The 22,220-nt window shown below is 36.5% G+C and overlaps 1 protein-coding gene across 26 annotated transcripts in view; it reads right to left on the reverse strand.

Annotated features, from left to right (window-relative positions):
* PDE4D (phosphodiesterase 4D) overlaps nucleotides 1-22,220 on the reverse strand; it is a 1,553,091-nt gene that overhangs the window by 388,890 nt on the left and 1,141,981 nt on the right. The gene's annotated exons all lie outside the window — the stretch shown is intronic.

The raw sequence follows: 22,220 nt of genomic DNA on the forward strand, positions 1-22,220 counted from the left end.
TAAGATTAGAGAGGCTTCAAGTGCCCAAGAGTGAATTTAACCCTCTCTGAACTGGACAAAATTGACCAAGAGTTGAGCTCAGTGAACATCACCATATCTGCAAATTTTGAGACCTCTAAAGCTCAATCTGTCTCTTGTACACCAAGGGAGTCTTGAATATTCATATAATTTCAATAAAAGCTCAAGACATTAAACATTATGCTTGTTTTCACAACAGCATCCAGGACACCAGGGGTTCTTAAGAATGCTACAGGTTTCATATCAGCTTTGGAGACGAGTAATAGAAAAGGTTTTTACAGTTTCACCTCTTTCTTATCAGACATGAGCTCAAAGAAAGTGGGTGAGTGAGAACTGCCCTGAACAGCAGCAACCTTGGAGGAGCAGAGAGTTCAAAAATAAACACAACACATTCTCCCTGAATCAACTTGCAATATTGTAACGCTTCACAAACTGTCTTTTTGCTTTTGTATAGAGATCCAAATTTCGCATGAGCAAAACAGGTAGCCACTTTCCTGGTGTTCTCAAAGAAGGACTGAAAAGGTGCTTACACTGATGCCAATCTGCCCTTCTGGTGTATGAAATGCCACCATTATCATTTAATTCTTTCAAACTATTTAATTTCCATTTTCGGCAGCTCTTAGGAAATGCACACATTCCTGGCAGAGTTAGCACTGAGCTGAACAACTTGGTGCTTATTAGAATGTCTTCATCTGAGACTAAAGCCAGACAGTGTAAGATAACTGGTGATCTGCGTAAAGAGGGGAGGAGTCCCTAACAGCTGGTGGGGTGAGGTGGCTTGGTGTGAAAGGGAGGGGGAGGGAGGCCACAAAGACAAGCAGAAGAGTAGAAGGGATGTTGCTGGCAAAGATGGACTTTTTTCACCCTCCAGGCAACACAAAGCTCTCATTTTGTCCAGTGGTGTTTAAATTTTTGTAGGTGAAACAGCATCACTGATTTCTAATAAAAGCTACAGTTTATGTATACGACTTTGGAAGCAGAAAAATATTTTCATTGTTATCCCAATTTTACTGATAGCAAGATAAACCCTATCTTTGTATTCAGGCTAAAGCCAGCAGTATACATTTTCACAAATAATTAACTGCCTTTGCTTACAAATTTACCTTTTTAAAGGGATATTCAAATTTAATGGATATCTAATTGATAAGCTACAAGGACATACGAATAATCTAGAATGAATCTGCTAGGGAATGTCCAACTTTTTCTAAAAATGTGCAAGGAAGGAGAACTAATCTTGTCTTTTTCATTACTGTCAAAAACATTTCTTCCTTCTTTTCCCCCTGCTTTGTAAAGGCAGTCATCTAGAACAGTTAAGCAAGATAAAACAATGGAACTGTAAATGTGAAATTATGAACAAGAAAATTGAAACTCTGCTTCATTTTCCTAGTGTGAAATCAGTTACAGACACAAGAAGTGTCTGTCAATATTAATATTATTTTTTCTTAAATAATTACTTACCGCCTCCTTTTCATTTCTTCCACACAGTTACACATAATCCTTCTTAGGTTACCAGGTCTCAGTAAGGTCATAGAAATAAGCTACTTATTTCTGAGATTAATCATGAGCAAAATTAAGCCTTGATTTCAAATAGAAATATCAATATTGTTTTTGAAGAACTGGCTAATATTTCACAGACATGAGAATTTAGACATTTGGAAAAAATAAGAAATTAAATAAAATGATTTTCTAGGATGAATCTTTACTAGCATTTATAATACAACAAGCTGTTTATAATTTTTACTTCATGGGTATCAAAGAGTATAAAAGAACAAAGAAGACATCTTTTGAACATTCTAATTACTGTCATTTATTAAGCGTTTATTTTTCCAGATGAATTTTAGTAAAAGCATGATTCAATAGCAAGGAGAGATGTTCCATCCCTGAGACAAATTATTATGTTTACAAGTTGTGCACACTAATTTTATATGTCCTAGGGAAAACCAGATTCGGAAATCTAAACATTGCTCCAATCCAATTGTTATCCATGTAAGTCCTAACCCCACTAAAGTATCAGCAAAGTGCCCGTCTCCTGCCAATAACTTAGCTCTTATGTTCTGCAGAGCTCTAAATAAGGCATCGTTTTTGCCTCTTGAATATTTCTGGGATTTTGGTTCCAAGATTCCAGATGTTACAAATGGCAAATTTGGGTTTCGGTGTCTGACACAGAAACTCAGAATTTCCTTTATAGGAGATAGCTACTATGAATAAAAATGAAACTCCCAAATTTGAGAGTGGGATAAGTTAAACGTAATCCACATAGGCATTCAATTACTTGCGCATCAAGTCTCTAGTTAACAGGCATACGGAAGAGACGAGGGTTGAGCTGAACTTCAGAGAAATAAGCAGTTACATCAGTGGGGTTGCGTTAGGTTGAAAGACATTGCTTCAGGAAACCAGAGCAGGCAGATAGTGGGTTTCAGGATAGTGCTGTATTTTGAAATAGTCTCTGGTTACAGACTCAAAGCCAGCAGAAGTTAATGTGGAAGCAAATAACAGACTGTTATTTACCATCTACTTCTGATGAGGGTGTCGTTGTAATTCTATCTTCAGAATGATACATTGCAAAAGAGTGTGACAAAAGGCAGTTTGATAACGGGGCTTGTGTACTCCTTAAAACTAATATCCATTCAGTACAAGTAAATGTAAAAAATGATTTTTATTACATTACTTATCAAAATCAACTATAAGTTATTTCTCAAAATGGAAGTGTTGCAAAATAATACCAAAATTTTCTTTGAATTGCTTTCAAATATTCATTCTAAACCTTATATGAGTCTACTTGATTGAAAGGTCAATTATTCCATGTTCTGAAATGGGAGACAATTATTTTAAGACTTGGCAACAGTAAAACATTAACAGAATTGAAGGTACCCCATGGTCTTAAGAACACTGGGAAAGCATGCTCTGTGTTTTAAGCTTCTACAATTGCATCCATTACTCATATATGACCCAGGACACAAACAGACACAAACTGTAATTAAAGAGCTAAAATCAGGATATAGACTAAAACAATCAATAAGAGGCATGCTTAAATATAATGATAAAAAATCAATATGACTATGATTGTGAATCAAAATGTTTTACTAGACACTTAAGGTTTCCATCTACATTAATTTTAGGATTTTTTTTAGCAATTTGGAAAACAACTAAGTCAAGCTTTTCTATTCACTAAACTAACAAAGCTCCTTCTAAAGCTTTGTTGGATAAAGCCTACTTGGATAAATGGGATTGAAGGAAAGAAATCATGGAGGAAGAAATGGAAGGAAAAGAAAATAAATTTTATGTTTATTGAATATCTACTAAATGACTGACAAGTTCCTAAGAGATTTTTCTAACTATTCAAAAAATATTTCTAGACTCAAATTCTTTAAAAATCTTGAAATCAATGTAGACTAATCATTTGAAATAAATAATTTGACACAATTTTCTAACAAGTGTGTAAAAGTCTTCTGGTGTCACTGATTGTCTTGTTCAATTCTCTGTATATGAAGATTTTAAAAGTCATAAAAATTCTTTCTATTTAATATTCTACTCATGAATACAGTCTTAAATAAAAATCCTACTTAGCTATTGACTGGTGAGTGAAGGAGTGGTGGATATAGGATTACATCTTGAAATTCACTTCCTCCGGAAGTCTTCCCTGCCTCCCCATACCAGGTGAGGTCTCCACTGCACTTTGTACTTCCTCTTTGTCAATGTCATCACATTAGTAATGACTTATTTGGTATCTGGCTCCCCTGATAGACCTAAACACTATGAGAACATGGATAACATCTGCTTTCCCTCTGGGTACTCAGTGCTTAGCAAACAGTCTAGAGACATAAAAACCACAATTATGTTTGTTTAATAAATGGACAAACCAATATTTTCAGGGCATCTTAAAAATAAGATGGAGCATTTACATTATATTCTTATATGTGCCTAAATAGGGGCAGAAATTTCAGAACAGGTAATTTAGGTAGGGCTTATTTAGTTTCTTTTTCCTATTTGATTGATTAATTAATTTTTTTAATCAAAATACCATTGGGCAAGTTTTCAGGGCAGCACTGTATAGGGGATTAGAGATTAGAGTCACAGTTATGCCATGAACTTGCCATGTGACCTTGAAGATTGTTGCCTGACCTTGCTGAGTTTCAGTGTCTTACCCATTTGGTTCTCATTTGAGAGCCATTGCAAAGAGTTTTGGAGAGGGCTGAATAAGGCAATTTATATAAAAACATTCTGAAAACTGGACAAAATTTTAGGCACACACTACTGATGTTTGTAAGCTTTTGGGAGAGGTAGGAAAACTATTTTTATACTGTTAGAAACATCTTTAAGTTCTAAAAATTGCCAATTGGTTACTTCATGAGCATGGTAAATAGGCATACCACTTTATCAGTTTCAAAAAGAATATCAGTCCTCAGTTTTGATAGATAACACTTTTCTCTATTTGAAATCTTTATATCCCATGTGTGTAAGAATAAAATATTAGCTGTTATATCTTGAAGGTTAATCATATGAAGAAATGTTAATGTTTTATTTGCAGCATTAAAACCCTCTAAGAACTTTGTTTACAAGATCTAAAAAAAATTAGGTGGCAAGAAATTTTACAAAAATTAGGTGATAGAATTTCTCGATTGCTCAAAACCCTAAGCTTCTCCTAAATATAGAAATGTTTCTACTTATTTTTTGAAAACTTATGGGATCCTAGAGACAGGTTGTTTAATTGGGAAACCAGTTGCAACACTGACTCCAACTCATGCTACCCTTATTGTTGGCCACGTACCAAATAAGGACAGAAATGGCTTCTTACAACTTTTTAGAATTATGCTTACAAATAAGCAAAAGCAGTGATGAAATTGCTAGGCTGAGAAACAAAATCACTCCCTTGGGAGAAAGAAAAAAGACCCCCAATACCAAGAATCCCTAAATAAAAATCTCATGTGCTAAATTTTGGTGCTGTGGATTTTTTCCGTGACTGTTCAATATCTTGCTAAATCTGGTTATCCATTTGTTGGAGCCAACAGTCATAAACTTTCCCATTCCTGAGTACCTGTCATCCTCAGACCCCTTCCTTACTTGGACACTTCCTGTGCACTGAATGAGTTTGTGAACCAAACATCACCATAATGTCGGGTTAACTTTTCTAATTCCTCATTTTACTATGATGATATCAACCACTTATTTGGTGTTTATTCTGTGGTGTTTATTGACCTTGCTGAGTTATAATGTCTTATCCATTTGGTTCTCATTTGAGAGAGAGCCATTGCAAAGAGCTTTTGAGAGGACTGAATAGGGTAACTAACATGAAAGTGTTCTGAAGACTCTGCACAGAATTTTAGGGTATACTATATATTATCCTCATAATAATTTATCTGTGTGCTTTGTGTTATTTTTATTCTGTATCACCACTGAGGAAACGAAGACTTACGAAGTTGAAGTAACTTGCCCCTATGATCATACAGCCAATGAGTAGCAGATCTGAGGTTAAAATTGAGGTCCCTCTTAATTGCAAAATGTATATCTTAACCAATACATGCCTGGAATATAAGTAAATACAGGAATGAAAAAGGTCAGGTCACCTTCCTTGAAGAATTAAATCATAAGAGAAGTTTTGAACTTTCACAGGAAAAACAATTGGTGTCAGGTATAAGATCTACATGTTACTTAATCTTCCAACTCACGAGCAGACATTATTATCACCACTTTATAGATGAGAAATCTGAGACTCATAGAGGTTAAGGAACTTGGCTAACACCACAGAGGTAATATATGACAGACATGTGAGTCCAAGTCAGTTTTGCTTATCTCTAAATCTTGTCTCCATTGTGGCTGGCTTACCTGAGATCTTTCAATTCCTAATTCCAGGACAAAATTGGCCTGTGAGCCTGGGGTGGGACTGAGGCTGCAAGTAGGGGCTGAGTGGGTTCAACTGTGGTAACTAGAGAGAGAGGAGGCCTAGAGTATAGTTCAGCTTGAGGAAAAGTGATCCTGTCAATGTTTGTATGCATTGTGCACTGCCCTGCACTTTCCCTCTGAATATTCTACATAGGAGAAAAATCACAACACTTTTCAGTCCATCCAACCAAAGGTAACAATGTGCTAGGGGCTACAATAGAAATCCAGATGTTTGAGTAACAGCAAAAGAAAACAGCTTATTGTTGTTATTTGTTTTTGTTTTGTAACAGAATATATAAAACTTAGGGTGCCATTTACTAGCTATCTCTCAGAACCAGCTAAGAAATTTATAACAGACATTTACACAATTAGGCTATTATTAATAAGACAATTGGACTGGTTCTGGTTTTTGCTTTCAGTGTTACCACTAATTTTATTTCTACTGGTTCAGTGGAGTTAAGTGACCTTCCCAAGTTTGGAAAGTGCTAAATAATGGGGCCTTGATGAAAACTTTAGCTTACCTCTAAATTTTAGAGAATAAGCCATTTTTATATTAGAGATTTTTAATTAAACTTACTACCTTAAAAATGTAGAAGTAAATTTGAGAACACACAATTGTTATTTCATTGGTCAGATGATATCCAGTAAAATCATTTATCCAGCAAAATTCTGAGTTAAATTTGACGTGTTTTTGTTTGATATATATGCTATAGGTGAGTCTTAAGGGATTGAATTTATATTTGAAAATAAAACAAACTTTGGTCAAAGAAACAAAATTATAACTATGGGCTTTTAGGTCTCACCAGGCACTGGATGGTGAAATGCATGAGGCAGCAAGTATTTTTCTAAATATTCTATAAGTGACCCTAACAAAAACACACAAAGCTTTGAAATAAACAGAGCTAAAAGATATAGACTAGTAAGCTACTTTCTATATGGAATTTTGTTCAACAGCTAATCAAACCAACCAGCCTCCCTTCCTTTTTTTCTTCCTCCCTCTCTCTTGCCCACCCACCTACCTTCCTTCCTTCCTTCCTACCTACCTTCCTTCCTTCCTTCCCTCCTTTCTTCCTTCCTTCTACTCACAAATGCATGTTTAGCATCACCTCACATGTCCCAGGCTATGCCAGCTGCCTGCTAGTAGTCAATGGTGAAAACAATTCATGCCCAAAGAGAACTTAGGGCTGAATGAACCAAAAACTGAAACTCAAGGGTAATACAAAATTTGACTGGGCTTAGGTTTATTTAAAGTATCAGGGCAATAAGAAGAGAAGGAATATAAAATATTTATAGAAATAAAAAATAACATGAGCTCTTATTTAAGAAAAAATGTATATAATTAAGAAGAAGGTAGCCAGGTATGAAGCTCATGCCTGTAATCCCAGCACTTTGGGAGGCCAAGGCGGACAGATCTCTTGAGCCCAGGAGTTGGAGACCAGCCTGGGAAACATGGCTAGATCCCATCTCTACAAAAAAGAGAAAAGTTAGCCAGGCATGGTGGTGCATGCCTGGGGTCCTAGCTACTTGGGAGGCCGAGGTGGGAGAATCACCTGAACCTGGGAATCGAGGCTGCAGTGAGTTGTGAGTGTGCCACTGAACTCCAGCACTCCAGCCTGGCTGACAGAGTAAGACCCTATCTCTAAAAACAAACAAACAAACAAAAACAAGAAGATGATTTTTCAGATCATCAACATTAAAAACATATCAAATGAGTTATTTTTGGTGAAACGCCAGTTTGTAACACTGGCCTGGGGGAAATATTTGGGCTCAACCAGTCAATTCTTTCTATTCTGTTAAAGTGGAAAGAGCACAGGAGAGATACATTTGTACAGAAGTTTCTATTTCAGCCCAGTGTGGGTCTAAATAAGGGCTCCGTGGCTGGGGGTACAGAGATGGGTCCTGGTGCCTCCTTACAAAACTTGCAAACCAGCAAGAATCTTACCTCGGAAAAATATCTCTGTGATCTGTGGCAGTAAGCTTTTTCTCAATAAAACATATCAGTAGTGCTCACACATTAAAACTGACAAACGGTCCCTTTGAATCCTTCTTATACACATAAAGAAAAAAATAAGCATGCCTTAGTAGGGCAATCAGTCCTGGAATAGTCCAGAATGAGCTGAATTAGGGATGTCTAAAATATAAACTTGATAGAGCATATAAGATCTGTTTCAGTAGAATATGGTTCTTGCCATGTCAAAAAGAGGCTTTTTCCCCCCAAGATGGTATTATGAACATTTTCAAAAATACAGAAAAATTGAAACAAGTTTACAGTGAACACCTGTGTATCTACTGTTTAGATTCCAACAGTGACATTTAAGAAACTGCTTCTTAACAGGTGATTATCATATTAGGTGAGCAATTATTCAGGTAAGACTCATCTGAATACTATTTAGGATTGTGCCTATGTTTAACCTAAGTTATAAGTCTCTATGTTTTCTTCTGGAGTCTATTTTGAAGGGTGGACTTTGTACAGGAAAGACAATTTGTTTTTTTCTATGTCATATAAAGCACAAAATAAATCTGAATTTCTAAATCTTACTAACAAAAATAAATTCAGGATAAAAAGTAAATCTAAAGATATGCTCAAGATTATGAGTTATCCAAATCAATACCCATTTAATTGATAAAAGCTATCAACCATGAAGTTTTATTCCAGGTTAGTCCTAGGTAATATGTTTTTGGGATTCTCTGAAATAAGAAAATTGTTGGTAAGTTATGAGTCAGTCAAGCACTTGGGAATGAGATAATTGGGAGCTTTCCACAGTTACTGATATTGTACAAACTAAACTATAATATTTATAAATCAAGAGATGTTTTAATAGGTGAGTTGTTTTTGGGTTTTCTGTGGGTTTTATTATTTTGTTTTCTTTTGATATATTTTAAATGAACATTATATAAATGTTAGGCCTTGTTTGTCATGAACAAGACATTGTACTTTTCTATAAATGAAAAAAATTCAACTTCAATAACTCTATTTTTAATCAATTATTTCTGATGTGCCTAGTGTAAAAGTCAGCTTGCTAACTTCTCAGCAATTTGAAATGCAGGTCAAGGTCAGATGACATTACAAGAGTGACAGAGAAAACCTAATTTTAGTCTCCATGAAACTGAAGAACTCAACACAAATGATTACTGAACACTCAGCCCATGTTTGGAGTTGTACGCTTACAAAGGCATCCTATCAGGAAGGAGCAAGTACTGCAGAATCGTGGAAGAAGCTAGTGTGTTCTCAGGTGCTCCAAGAGCTGTGGAAAATCTCAGATTCAGACTATCGACTCCTCAAGTACATTCAAAGAACGTGTATTTGCAACTCTAGTATAAACTCATTACAGCAGAAGTTCTGAGAAAATAGCCAATACAGCTATAAGTAGCAGAAAGTGGCATTTTCCAAAAAAGTTAATGTTAATACTTTGTTTAAAAGCATATTATAAAATTGTCAATACTAAGTAGAATCTAATTACTCCTGAAAAGCATTTCTCATTTAAAAATCTATTCATTAAAATATGCACCAAAATGTTGATCAAGTTATTTCTGGGTAATAGAATGATAGATGTTTTTAAATTTTATTTTCCATAATGTTTATATTTTCTACAATAAATAAAGATGACTTTTATAATCAGAATAAATGAAATACATGTTATTAAAAAACTAGAGTAGTCAAGTTTCTTTTTTTCCCACCAGGAATTTTAGGTTTTTAGTTGATTAGACTTCAAACAAAGGTCAAGAGTAAAGACTTTTGAATCATATTAAATTAAAGATGTCTCATAGATATTTTACACATTGGTGAGATGTAAAGTAGTGAGAGAGAAGTCCTGAGAAGCCAGATAGGCATACACATCATTTAACACCTATGATGGTATTATTTAAAATCAAATCATTAATAGAATCAGCATGATGCAGTTTGCAGAAGCATAACTAGAGAAGACAAGAAGTCTGCCTTACAGAGCCTAAGAAGAGGCATGGCAAGGAAAAAGCAAGAGAGAGAGAAAGAAGCAGAGCTCTTAGTAGATGTAAAGAAATCCACTTCGTGCCAGTTTGCAAGGAAATTTTCCTTTATGAAGAGCAGAGCACTTAATAGATGTAAAGAAATCCACTTCGTGCCAGTCTGCAAGGCAATTTTCCTTCACGAGGAGCTAGCTGTTTGCACAGCGCCCTCTTGTGAAGAGAGGTTTTCGTGACTGTACCTTCACCCCAAGAGCCAAAAACTTCAAGTATCCTTCCAGAGCAATTGCTTAGCTTTCATCAGCTGAGGATTAACTTCCAAGGCTTTTTGAGGATGCATGTATGGGTATGAGTAACACACAGACTTGACATCCGAATTCTCTATTATTAAATGTGCACATAAATATTCCACAGAGTTGTGCTTCTTAATGATAATACTTTAAAAAGAACTTCCTAAAATAGGAAATTAGCATCTATGTTTGTTCCCATGACTTGTGAAACTTGCTCTTTTGCTCTGATGAATGCTGTTTCTCCATTCGGTAAATGAAAATTGAAAAATTGAAAATTGGGGACTACATTAAAAATCAAAAATTGTCCATTCATCTTAAAAATATGGAGACATTTATTTATAAAACGTTAGTATGCTTATGAGTGCCATTTGAAAATGCATTAGGCACCTGAAATTTCATATGATAGTCACTGACAAAAATATTGCCATTTGAGTAATATAAGAATTAGAGACATTTGGTGTGCTTGATTTAGCACGTTAATTAGAATAAAAATCTTTATTCATGTAAATGATTCCACTGATTTGCAATTATCTGGATAACTGCTCAGCAGGAAAAACCAAATTTTGGATACTTCTTGCAAAAAAGTAAATTACTGTGGAATATGATACAATGTATGCAGGAAGAGTTGTGCTTTATGTGATATTCTGACTCAAAACAGGAGAGAAAATGATTTCTTCTCACATTCAGTTGAACAATTGATTGGGAAGTGATTACAAACTTCACTTTGCCTGTCAGTGTCTGTGCTATGTATTTATTGAGGAGCTCATTCATTGCTACTCACTTTCCTAACCAAACCATCATGAAAAACATGCTTAGAACCCTGAGCTAGGTAAAATGAGAATGTGTGGCTTAGCACAAATCATAATTAAAAAGCAATGGCAACACCAAAGGATGGGTTGGGGTGCCCCTCCATAACCGCTACAAGGTTTTCCAAACCCACCACAAATAAATATGTGTCAAACATAAAAACGATGTGCTTTCTATGTAAATGCAAATTCAAGACAAGTCCCCAAGATCCCTTAGCTTCCAATCAAATTGTCATCACTTCTCAATCTACTACTATCTAGAAATTCTACTGTGGCCTTTGCTGAAAGTTCAGAGCATTCATTGATGAGTATCATTGTATTCATGTGGAAGAGATGACATGAGGCAGACAAGGACGGTAACAAGTCTGTGTAGGAATCTACACATATCTAGTGCTTGTGCAATGGGCTTTTGAATAGGCTTGTGAAAAAGACTAACGCCTCCCAACTGTATCTCCATCCCTGACATTTTGCCTGGTTTTCAGAATAGTATATCAATCTCCTTCTTGGAGATTGACATATGGGTATTTAATAGTCTTAGGTTTAATTCCTTCCAGGGAGACTGCAAAATATTGGAGTGCGTAGTTTATTTGGAGAAGAGGCAGGAAGGCGATTCTAGGAAATCAAAGTTAGGTGATGGAGAAGTGGGATAGCAAAGGAAGAAAAGTTAATACAGTGTGTATTAATAAGCAGGGGCAGATGGGGCCCAATCTCCCCAGGGACCTTTTGTGGGACCATATATACACATGCCTCAGGACTGTCCCACTGGAGAATGTGGAACCTGGGGTATATGAGCACCAACTCTGGACCCTCAATGTTGGAGTGTTGCCACTGGGAATGTTAAAAAATTCTGTAAACGGTCTCAGCAGGCTCCTTTGTACTGCAGAAAGCCCCCAGGTGCCTGAGATGGGAAACTGACTGAGTCTGCCATAGCCTCAGGTGAACTCTATAGTGGGTGGAGGGAAATGGGGCAGCACTCCAAGCATTTTCCACAAACAGGACTATCAAACTCAAAATGCTCAAACAGAACCACCCCACCACTAAACCTACTCCTCCCTTGAACTCCTCAAGCTCAATAAATAAAAACACACATTTCCAATTTGTTCAGGCCAAAAACCCTTGAATTATCTTTGACTCATCTCTTTTTCTCTCACTCTATGTAAAAATCCGTCATCAAACACAATTAGCTCTGGTTTCAAAACATTGCCAGAATCTGATCACTTCTCGCCATCTCCACTGCCATCACCCGGGTCCAAGTCACTACTGTCTCCTTCCAAGGCTATTGCAGTGGCGTCATAACCATTTTCCCTGCTTCTACTCTTGCTCCTACTCTATTCTTCACAGAGCACCCAGAGTGATCCTTTGAAAATGTATGCCATTTCTCTGCTCAAAACCCTTTACTAGTTTCCCTCTCCATTTGGGATAAAATCCAAACTCTTTTCCATGGTTTTCAAAAGCCCTCTCCTCTCTTTATGGCCTCCTTTTCTATTCTCTTTCTTGCTTACTCAGTTCCCACAATACTCAACTTCTTCCTGTTCCTTAAACACAATGTGCCTCCTCCTAAGGAGCTTTGCACTTGCTATTTCTTTTTCTTGAAACACTCTTCCTTTGGAAAAATGCATAATTCACTCATTTTGTTAAGATTTAAATGTCAGTTTAACAGACAGGGATACCTATTCTGACTTTTTAATCTAAAATCACACTCGTATTACTATTTCTTTACTCTGCACTAATTTTTTTCATAGAACTAACCATCACGACACACATTTTGAATGTGTTTATGTATTTCATATATTTTGTACTATCCTCCCCACAAAAAATTAAATTCTTTCAGAGGAGAGACATGTTGATTCACTGCTGTTTGGCCAACAACTAGAATAGGGCCAGATAGTGGTAATGGTTCAATATATATTTGCTAAGTGAATTAATTCACTGTTCTGAGAGCCATATGAGATAAATATTGATACTTATTAAACACTTAAACGTTATGATTGATATTGGCCTATAAAAAGTGTAAGCAGCCTCTGCTCACCAGAAGTATGAATATCCAAGGTGTAGTGAAATTATCAGAGTTTAGACCTGTAAGCTTGTCCAACCCGTGGCTTGTGGGCTACATGGCCCAGGATGGCTTTGAATGTGGCCCAACACAAATTCATAAACTATCTTAAAACATCATGAGACTTTTTGTTTTGTTTTTGCTCATCAGCTATCATATTGGTGTATTTTATATGGGGCCCAAGACAATTCTTCCAATGTGGCCCAGGGAAGCCAAAAGATTGAATACTCCTGGGAGGGTATATTACTGTATTATGAACAATGATAGTTAGGAAAAGAAAGGAAAGAAAGGTTGAGACTGGACTGTGAAGGAACTTGAATGATACGTTAGGAGTGGGACCTTTGTTCCATTTAGAAGTGAAAACTTACCAAGTTTCTCTGAACAAGGGAGTGAAATAATAAAAGCAGAATTAATTTCAGAACAATTGATATTTTGATTCTACTTGCAAGGACTTGAGCAGGAAAGATTAGAGGCAGAGAGACAATGTCGTGAACTTTCCCCCACTCGAATCCTCCTTTTTCCCAGTATTCAAGACACTGGCATATGTACTGGCATATATGTACTATTTGCATCTTTTAAACTTAGTTTGAAGACTACTGTATCATCAAATATTTTTCATACTCAGTTAAGGTGGTTTTTGATCTTACTGCGATGTTAAACTACCACACTTTGTTTAGCTGAAAAAAAGGTCTGTCCATGGTTTCTCTGGATTGGAAGTGAACCTACTATAGATATGAAAAGCTCATATTCATTCTTCTTCAGGTTACCTAAAAACTAATAACTAAAGTATTAGAAAAAGATAAGTTTCGGTATGAATATACTATAGGTTATCTGGTGAGACACAGTTATGAGTCAACGGGAATAAACACGTCAAAGGCATCTGTAGTGCTTAGCAAAGTTTCTTTACATCTCTAATTTGTTTCTTACCCAGGGCAAAATGCAAACTGCAGTCTTCTTTTCTCTAAAGGAGTATTGTAAAGAAAAAGAGTGGTATATGCTCATGTTCTACTGGACTCTGAACCTCCTGGGGCTGTATAACCCTGGGACTGCCCAGCACAGTAGGAGTGAAATAAATGTATGTTAAATGAATCCATCAAACCTCTTAGAAGACAGACTCCAGGGAAATTTCATTATTTTGTTCTAAATTATGCTTTCCCTCATGTAATGAATATTTAATTCTGTTTTGTTCCAGAAAGGACTCAAGGCTTCTCTATTTCCTTTAGTAATTAGCTTAAATAAGCCAAGTCATCCATTTCTCTACCTACCCAATGGACAACAGAAGAAGCTTACGTGTCTCATAGCTTTATCTGTACCTTGATATGTTTGAGAATATTTCATATACATAAACCAGCAATGATCATTTGAGGAAATAAACCAGTAAACTTTACAAGCAATTGTAATTTGAGGATATAAACTTTAAACTCTAGAATGTTGGACACATCTTTGAAAATAATTCCAAATAACTAATTGAATCTATTAGTTTATGTTACAAGCCAATTTGGTTCAAAGTTTTAAAATGAAGAAAAAAATTGTATAAATTGAAGTTTTAAGCATAGTTTAATGAAATCAGCTAGTCTAAATTCAATATTTTCACTCAGTTCATCAAATTATTTGAAAAGTAAACACGTGGGCTGTACAGAGAACAGTGAATCCTCCCCTACCCTGAGCTATCACTCCTGCTTGTGGGGCACAGAGAAGGCATTCAGACCTGTGCCTGCCACCACCCTACCCCCAGCCAACACCACCTCCAGTGTGACTGTGCACACAGGCTCCAGCAAGGGCCTCCTGCCCACCTCTGTAAGCTGCATTGCCTCTGCCACTCTGGTGAACATCTGCAAGGAGGCAGGCACCCCCACACCCACTAGCACTTCACTGCAGCTGTCCCATCTCAGCACCCCTAGCTGAGTGGATTCCAAAACTTGAAGAATGAGAAGACAAAGTTTGGGCCTCATACAAGTCCCCCAGAGTTAGTGCACACAGTCCAGAAGTTGGGAGCTGAGTGTTGGACCCCTAAAATCTTCCAGAAATGAAGCCAATCAGCTGAATCCACCTAATACCACAATCAAACCCTCAAGGTCATCAAATAGGATAAAAGGAAAAAAAAAACATTCAAATGTCAGCAACCTCAAACATTAAAGGTAGAAAAGTCCACAAAGATGAGAAAGAATCAGCACAAGAACCCTGAAAACTCAAAAGGCCAGAGTGCCTTTTTTCCTCCAAACAACCGTGTCCCTTCTAAAGCAAGCTTCTAAACCAGGCTGAGATGGCTGAAATGACAGAAATAGAATTCAAAATATGGATTGGAATGAAGATCATTGAAGTACAGGAGTATGTTGAAACCCAACGGAAGGAAGCTAAAAATCATGATAAAACAATGCAGGAACTGACAGACAAACAGCCAGTATAGACAAGAATGTCACCAACCTGATAGAACTGAAAACATTATTAGAATTTCATAATGTAATTACAAGTACTAATAACAGAACAGCCTAAGTGGAGGAAAAAATCTCAGAAATCTCAGAGCTTGAAAACTGGCTTTCTAAAATAAGACAGTCAGACAAGAATAGAGAAAACAGAATGAAAAGGAATGAACAAAACCGAGAAATATGAGATTATGTAAAGAGACTGAATCTACGACTCATTGGTGTCCCTGAAATACATGAGGAGAATGAAGCCAACTTGGAAAACATATTTCAGAGTGTTATCCATGAGAACTTCCCTAACCTAGTTAGAGAGGCCAACATTTAAATTCAGGAAATGCAGAAACTCCTGGTAAGGTACTTCACAAGAAGGTCATCCCCAAGACACACAATCATTAGATTCTCCAAGGTTGAAATCAAAGAAAACATGTTAAAGGCAGCTAGAAAGGTAAGGTCACCTACAAAAGGAAGCCCATCAGACTAACTGTGGACCTCTCAGCAGAAACTCTACAAGCCAGAAAAGATTGAGGGCCAATATTCACAATTCTTAAAAAGAAATTCCAACCAACAATTTCATATCTGGCCAAACTAAGCATCATAAGTGAAGGGGAAATAATATCCTGTTCAGACAAGCAAATACTGAGGGAATTTGTTACCACCAGACATGCCTTACAAGAACTCCTGAAAGAAACACTAAATATAGAAAGGAAAGACCATTACCAGACACTACAAAAACACACTGAAGTGTACAGACCAATGACTCTATAAAACAACCATATAAACAAGTCTGCAAAATAACCAGCTAACATCATGATGACAGAATCAAATTCACACATAACAATATTAACCTTAAATGTAAATGGACTAAATGCCTCAATTAAAAGACACAGAGTGGCAAGCTGGATAAAGAATCGAGACTCACTGGTATGCTGTCTTCAAGAGACCCATCTCACATGCAATGATACACATAGGCTCAAAATAAAGGGATGGAGGAAAATCTACCAAGCAAATGAAAAACAGAAAAAAGCAGGGGTTGCAATCCTAGTTTCTGACAAAAAAGACTTTAAACCAACAAAGATAAAAAAGACAAAGAAGGGCATTACATCATGGTAAAGGGTTCAATTCAACAAGAAGATCTAATTATCCTAAATATATACACACCCAACAGAGAGAAACACTCAGATTCATAAAGCAAGTTCTTAGAGACCTCCAAAGAGACCTAGACTCCCACACAATAATAGCAGGAGACTTTAACATATCACTGAAAATATTAGATATATCATCAAGACAGGAAATTAAGATATTCAGGACTTGAACTTAGCACTGGAACAAATGGATCTGATAGATATCTACAGAAGTCTCCACCCCAAAACAACAGAATATACATTCTTCTCATTGCCACATGCCACATACTCTAAAATTGATCACATAATCAGAAGTAAAACACTACTCAGCAAATGCAAAAGAACTGAAATAATAATGAACAATCTCTCAGACCAGAGTGCAATCAAATTAGAAGCTAAGGCTAAGAAATTCACTCAAAACCATGCAATTACATGGAAATTGAATGCCTTTTCTCCTGAAATCCTGAATGCCTTTTGGGTAAATAATGAAATAAAAGCAGAAATCAATAAGGTTTTTGAAACAAATGAGAACAAAGATACAACATACCAGAACCTCTGGAAAATAGCTAAGGCAGTGTTAGGACAGACATTTATAGCATGAAATGCCCAAATCAAAAAGTTAGAAAGATCTCAAGTCAACAGCCTAACATCACAACTAAAAGAACTAGAGAACCAAGAGCAAATAAATTCCAAAGCCAGCAGATGACAAGAAATAACCAAAATCAGAGCTGAACTGAAGAATATTGAGACACAGAAAACCATTCAAAAGATCAGTGAATCCAGGAGTTGTTCTTTTTTTGAAAAAATTAATAAACTACATAGACCACCAGCTAGATTAATAAAGAAGAAAAGAGAGAAGATTCAAATAAACACAATCAGAAATGATAAGGGGGATATTACCACTGACCCCACAGAAATACAAACAACCATCAGAGAGTATTATGAACACCTTTATGCACATAAACTAGAAAAACTAGAAGAAATGGATAAATTCCTGGACATACATACTCTCCCAAGACTGAATCAGGAAGAAGCTGAATCCCTGAATGGACTAATAAAAAGCACTGAAATTGAGTCAGTAATAAATAGCCTACCAACCAAAAAAACCCCAGGACCAGACTGATTCACAGCTGAATTCTACCAGATGTACAAAGAAGAGATGGTACCATTCCTGCTGAAACTATTCCCCAAAACTGAGAAGGATGGACTCCTCCCTAACTCATTCTACAAGGCCAGCATCTTCCTGAGACAAATACCTGGTAGAAATATAACAAAAATTTAAAACTCAGACCAATATTCTTGATGAACATTGATGCAAGAATCCTCCATAAAATACTGGCAAACCAAATCCAGTATCACATCAAAAAGCTTATCCACCACAATCAAGTAGGCTTCATCCTTGAGATGCAAGGTTGGTTCAACATATGCAAATCAATAAATGTGATTCATCACATAAACAGAACTAAAGACAAAAAACACATGATTATCTCAAAAGATGTGGAAAATGCCTTTGATAAAATTCAAGATCGCTTCATGTTAAAAACTCTCAATAAACTAGGTATTGAAGGAACAGCCCTCAAAAAATAAGAGCCATCAATGATATACCCACAGTCAACATCATACTGAATGGGCAGAAGCTGGAAGTATTACCATTGAAAATGGGCACAAGACAAGGATGCCCTCTCTCGCCTTTCCTATTCAACATTTTGGAAGTCCTGGCTAGGGCAGTTAGATAAGAGAAAGAAATAAAGCACATTCAAACAGGAAGAGAGGAAGTCAAACTATCCCAGTTTGCAGATTACACGATCCTATATCTAGAAAACCACATAATCTCAGCCCAAAAGCTTCTTAAACTGATAAACAACTTCAGCAAAGTTTCAGGATATGAAATTAATGTGCAAAAATAACTAGCATTCCTACACACCAACAATAGTCAAGCTGAGAGCCAAATCAGGAATGCAATCCCATTCACAATCACCACAAAAAGAATAAAATACCTAGGAATACAGATAACCAGGGAGGTGAAAAATCTCTACAAGGAGAACTACATAACACTGCTCAAACAAATGAGAGACGACACAAAAAAATAGAAAAACATTCCATGATCATGGACAGAAAGAATCCATATTGTTAAAATGGCCATACTGCCTGAAGCAATTTATAGATTCAGTGCTATTTTTAATAAATTACCACTGAGATTCTTCACAGAACTAGAAAAAACTATTTTAAAATTCATATGGAACCAAAAAAGAGCCCGAATAGCTAAGGCAATCCTCAGCAAAAAGAACAAAGCTAGAGGCATCATGCCACCCAACTTCAAACTATACTACAGGGCCACAGTAACCAAAACGGCATGGTACTGGTACAAAAACAGACACATAGACAAATGGAACAGGATAGAGAACCTAGGAATAAGACCATATACCTACAACTATCTGATCTGTGACAAACCTAACAAAAACAAGCATTGGAGAAAAGATTCCCTATTCAATAAATGATGCTGAGATAGCTGGCTAACTATATGCAGAAGATTGGACCCCTTCTTTATACCATATACAAAACTTAACTCAAGATGTATTAAATAGTTAAATGTAAAACCCAAAGCTATAAAAATCCCAGAAGACAACCTAGGCAATACCATCTTGGACACAGGAACAGGTGAAGATGTCCTGACAGGCCAGGTGTGGTGGCTCACACCTGTAATCCCAGCACTTTGGGAGGCTGAGGCAGGCAGATCACGAGGTCAGGAGATCGAGACCATCATGGCTAACACAGTGAAACCCTGTCTCTACTAAAAATACAAAAAATCAGCTGGGCGTGGTGGCGGGCGCCTGTAGTCCCAGCTACTCAGGAGACTGAGGTAGGAGAACGGCGTGAACCCAGGAGGAGGAGGTTGCAGTGAGCTGAGATCATGCCACTGCACTCCAGCCTGGGTGACAGAGTGAGACACCCATCTCAAAAAAAAAAAAAAAATATGTCATGACAAAGACACCAAAACCAATTGCAACAAAGGCAAAAATTGACAAATGAGATCTAATTAAACTAAAGAGCTCTTGCACAGGAAAGGAAGCTGTCAACAGAGTGAGCCTATAAAATGGGAGAAAATTTTTGCAAACTATTCAACAAAGGTCTAATATCTAGCATCTATAAGGAACTTAAACAAATTTACAAGAAAAAACAACCCCATTAAAAAGTGGGCAAAGGACATGAACAGGCACTTTTCAAAAGACATACATGCAGCCAACAATCATATGAAAAAGTCTTCAACATCACTCATCATTAGAGAAATGCAAATCAAAACCACAATGAAATACCATCTCACACCAGTCAGAATGGCTAGTATTAAAAAGTCAACTTATACACTGTTGGTGGGAGTGTAAATTAGTTCAACAATTGTAGAAGACAGTGTGGCAATTCCTCAAAGACCTAAAAAAGAAATACCATTTGACCCAGCAATCCCATTACTGGGTGTATACCCAAAGGAATAGAAATTATTCTATTATAATGACACAGGCATGTGTATGATCATTGCAGCACTATTCACAATAGCAAAGACATAGAATTAACCTAAACGCCCATCAATGATAGACTGGATAAAAAAAAATGTGGTGCATACACACCATGGAATACTCTGCAGCCATAAAAAAGAATGAGATCATGTCCTTTGCAGGAACATGGATACAGCTGGAGGCCATTATCTTTAGCAAACTAATGCAAGAACAGAAAACCAAATACCATATGTTCTCACTTATTAGTGGGAGCTAATTGATGTGAACACATGGACACAAAGAGGGGAACAACACACACTAGGGCCTACCAGAGGGTAGAAGGTGGGAGGAGGGAGAGGATCAGGAAAACTAATAGGTAGTAGGCTTAATACTTGGGTGACAAAATAATGTGTACAAGAAGCCCCTGTGACCCAAGTTTACCTATATAACAAACCTGCACATGTACCCCTGAACTTAAAAGTTAAAAAAAAGAATTCAGAAGAAGAAAATGAAAGAAAAGTAAACCCGAGTGTATAGTCCTCCATCTCCTAGGTTCTAAGGATTAAAAGCTCCAAGAAAAGTGTTAGAAAAATACATAGTGAATTAAGAAAAAATTATTCCTTATAGTTCCAACGTTGTGTCTTTGCTTATACTATGTTCACCCTTTTAGGTATGTTTGTACAAAATGAAAAAGGAATAAAAACCAACATTTTAGAGGATAATTCATGCTACTCAAAACAATCACGAGGAAAAGCTGGGCTGAAACTAGTGACAAGCTTTTGCATTGTGCCACATTGCTGTCACATTTTTGCCCATATTATTTATGAGATTTCTTCAAAATTTTTATACCAGGTCATTCTTAAGGAATTCTTTGCTCAGGAAAAAGTCCAAGTTAGCATCCTTCAGACCCCTGCTGTCTCTCCAGCTCCTCTCCACACACATCCATTTATAGGGAAAGGCAAGGGCAGAAAGCAGATTTAGAAGAGAAAAAGGATAGAGGAGCATGAGTGTGTGTGTCCACGTGTGTGTGTTTGTGTGTGTGTGTGTGTGTGTGTGATGTGTCCTGCTTTACCACAGTCCAGGGAGCTTACAGGGAAGTCCATGTTCAATATCAGCACTGCAGGCCTCTCCAGCAGGCCCTTGTTCCTTCCTGGTCTTCACTGCCTAGTGCACGGCAACTAAGCCACAACACCCAAACCTGAGACAAATCATCCCATCCCAGGGCTAAAAAAGTGACTCTAATGATGTGTCTGCGTAACAATCAATAATTCATTTAAATTGATTGCCTGATACATAAATAATTTCCTTATAACCTTCTGACTTTTAGCACCACTGATCTAAGAATCACACCTAAAAAAGTGCTGTCAGAATGCAAAAATAGTTTTCTGTTTGAATAATACTTATTTTTTATGACCATATGAATGATGAATATTCATGATAGAAATTTGGAAAATTCAGAAAATTAAATTTTTTTAAAAATCATCTATACCGAGAGGCAACTTGTAAATCTGGCTCATTTTCTTTATTTTTATATGTATATACATATATTTACGCATCTAATTTTAACATTCAATTGAGATTTGATGTACATAATTTTTGGATTCTGCTTTGCATTCATGGTTTACTATAAGCCATTTTCTCTATCACTTAATGTCATTTGAAAATATATTTAATGGTTGACAAGATTCTATTGGCTGGGTCTAATATGAAAATTTATTTAAACATTAGTTCATGTGAAATACATAGAATATACCTAGGTTCTCAATATTATAGGTATTTTTACGGTGAATATCTTTGAATATAAATATTTTAATATCCCAAATTACTTCCACAATCCAAATATCTACAAGCAGAATTACTAAATTAAGAGGTAGGATTTTAAAAATATCAATGTTTATTTTAGATTTAGGGGCTACATGTACAGGTTTGTTACATGAGTATATTGCGTGATGCTGAGGTTTGGGGCAGTGCTGATCCCATCACCCAGGTGGTCAGCATTGTACCCAGTAGGTAGAGTTTCCTCCCTTATTCCCCTTTCCCCTCCTGGCTTTTGGAATCCTCAGTGTCTACTGTTACCATCTTTGTGTCCATGTGTTAAAGGGTAGGAGTAATTTTGAGGCTTCAAGCTTCTGCTGATTTTTAAGCATTTTTCTGAAATAAAACTTTCAAATTAGTTCATAAATCAATGTAACAGATGAC

The sequence above is a fragment of the Homo sapiens genome, chromosome 5 (genome assembly GCF_000001405.40).
Source record: "Homo sapiens chromosome 5, GRCh38.p14 Primary Assembly".
Lineage (NCBI taxonomy): Eukaryota > Metazoa > Chordata > Mammalia > Primates > Hominidae > Homo > Homo sapiens.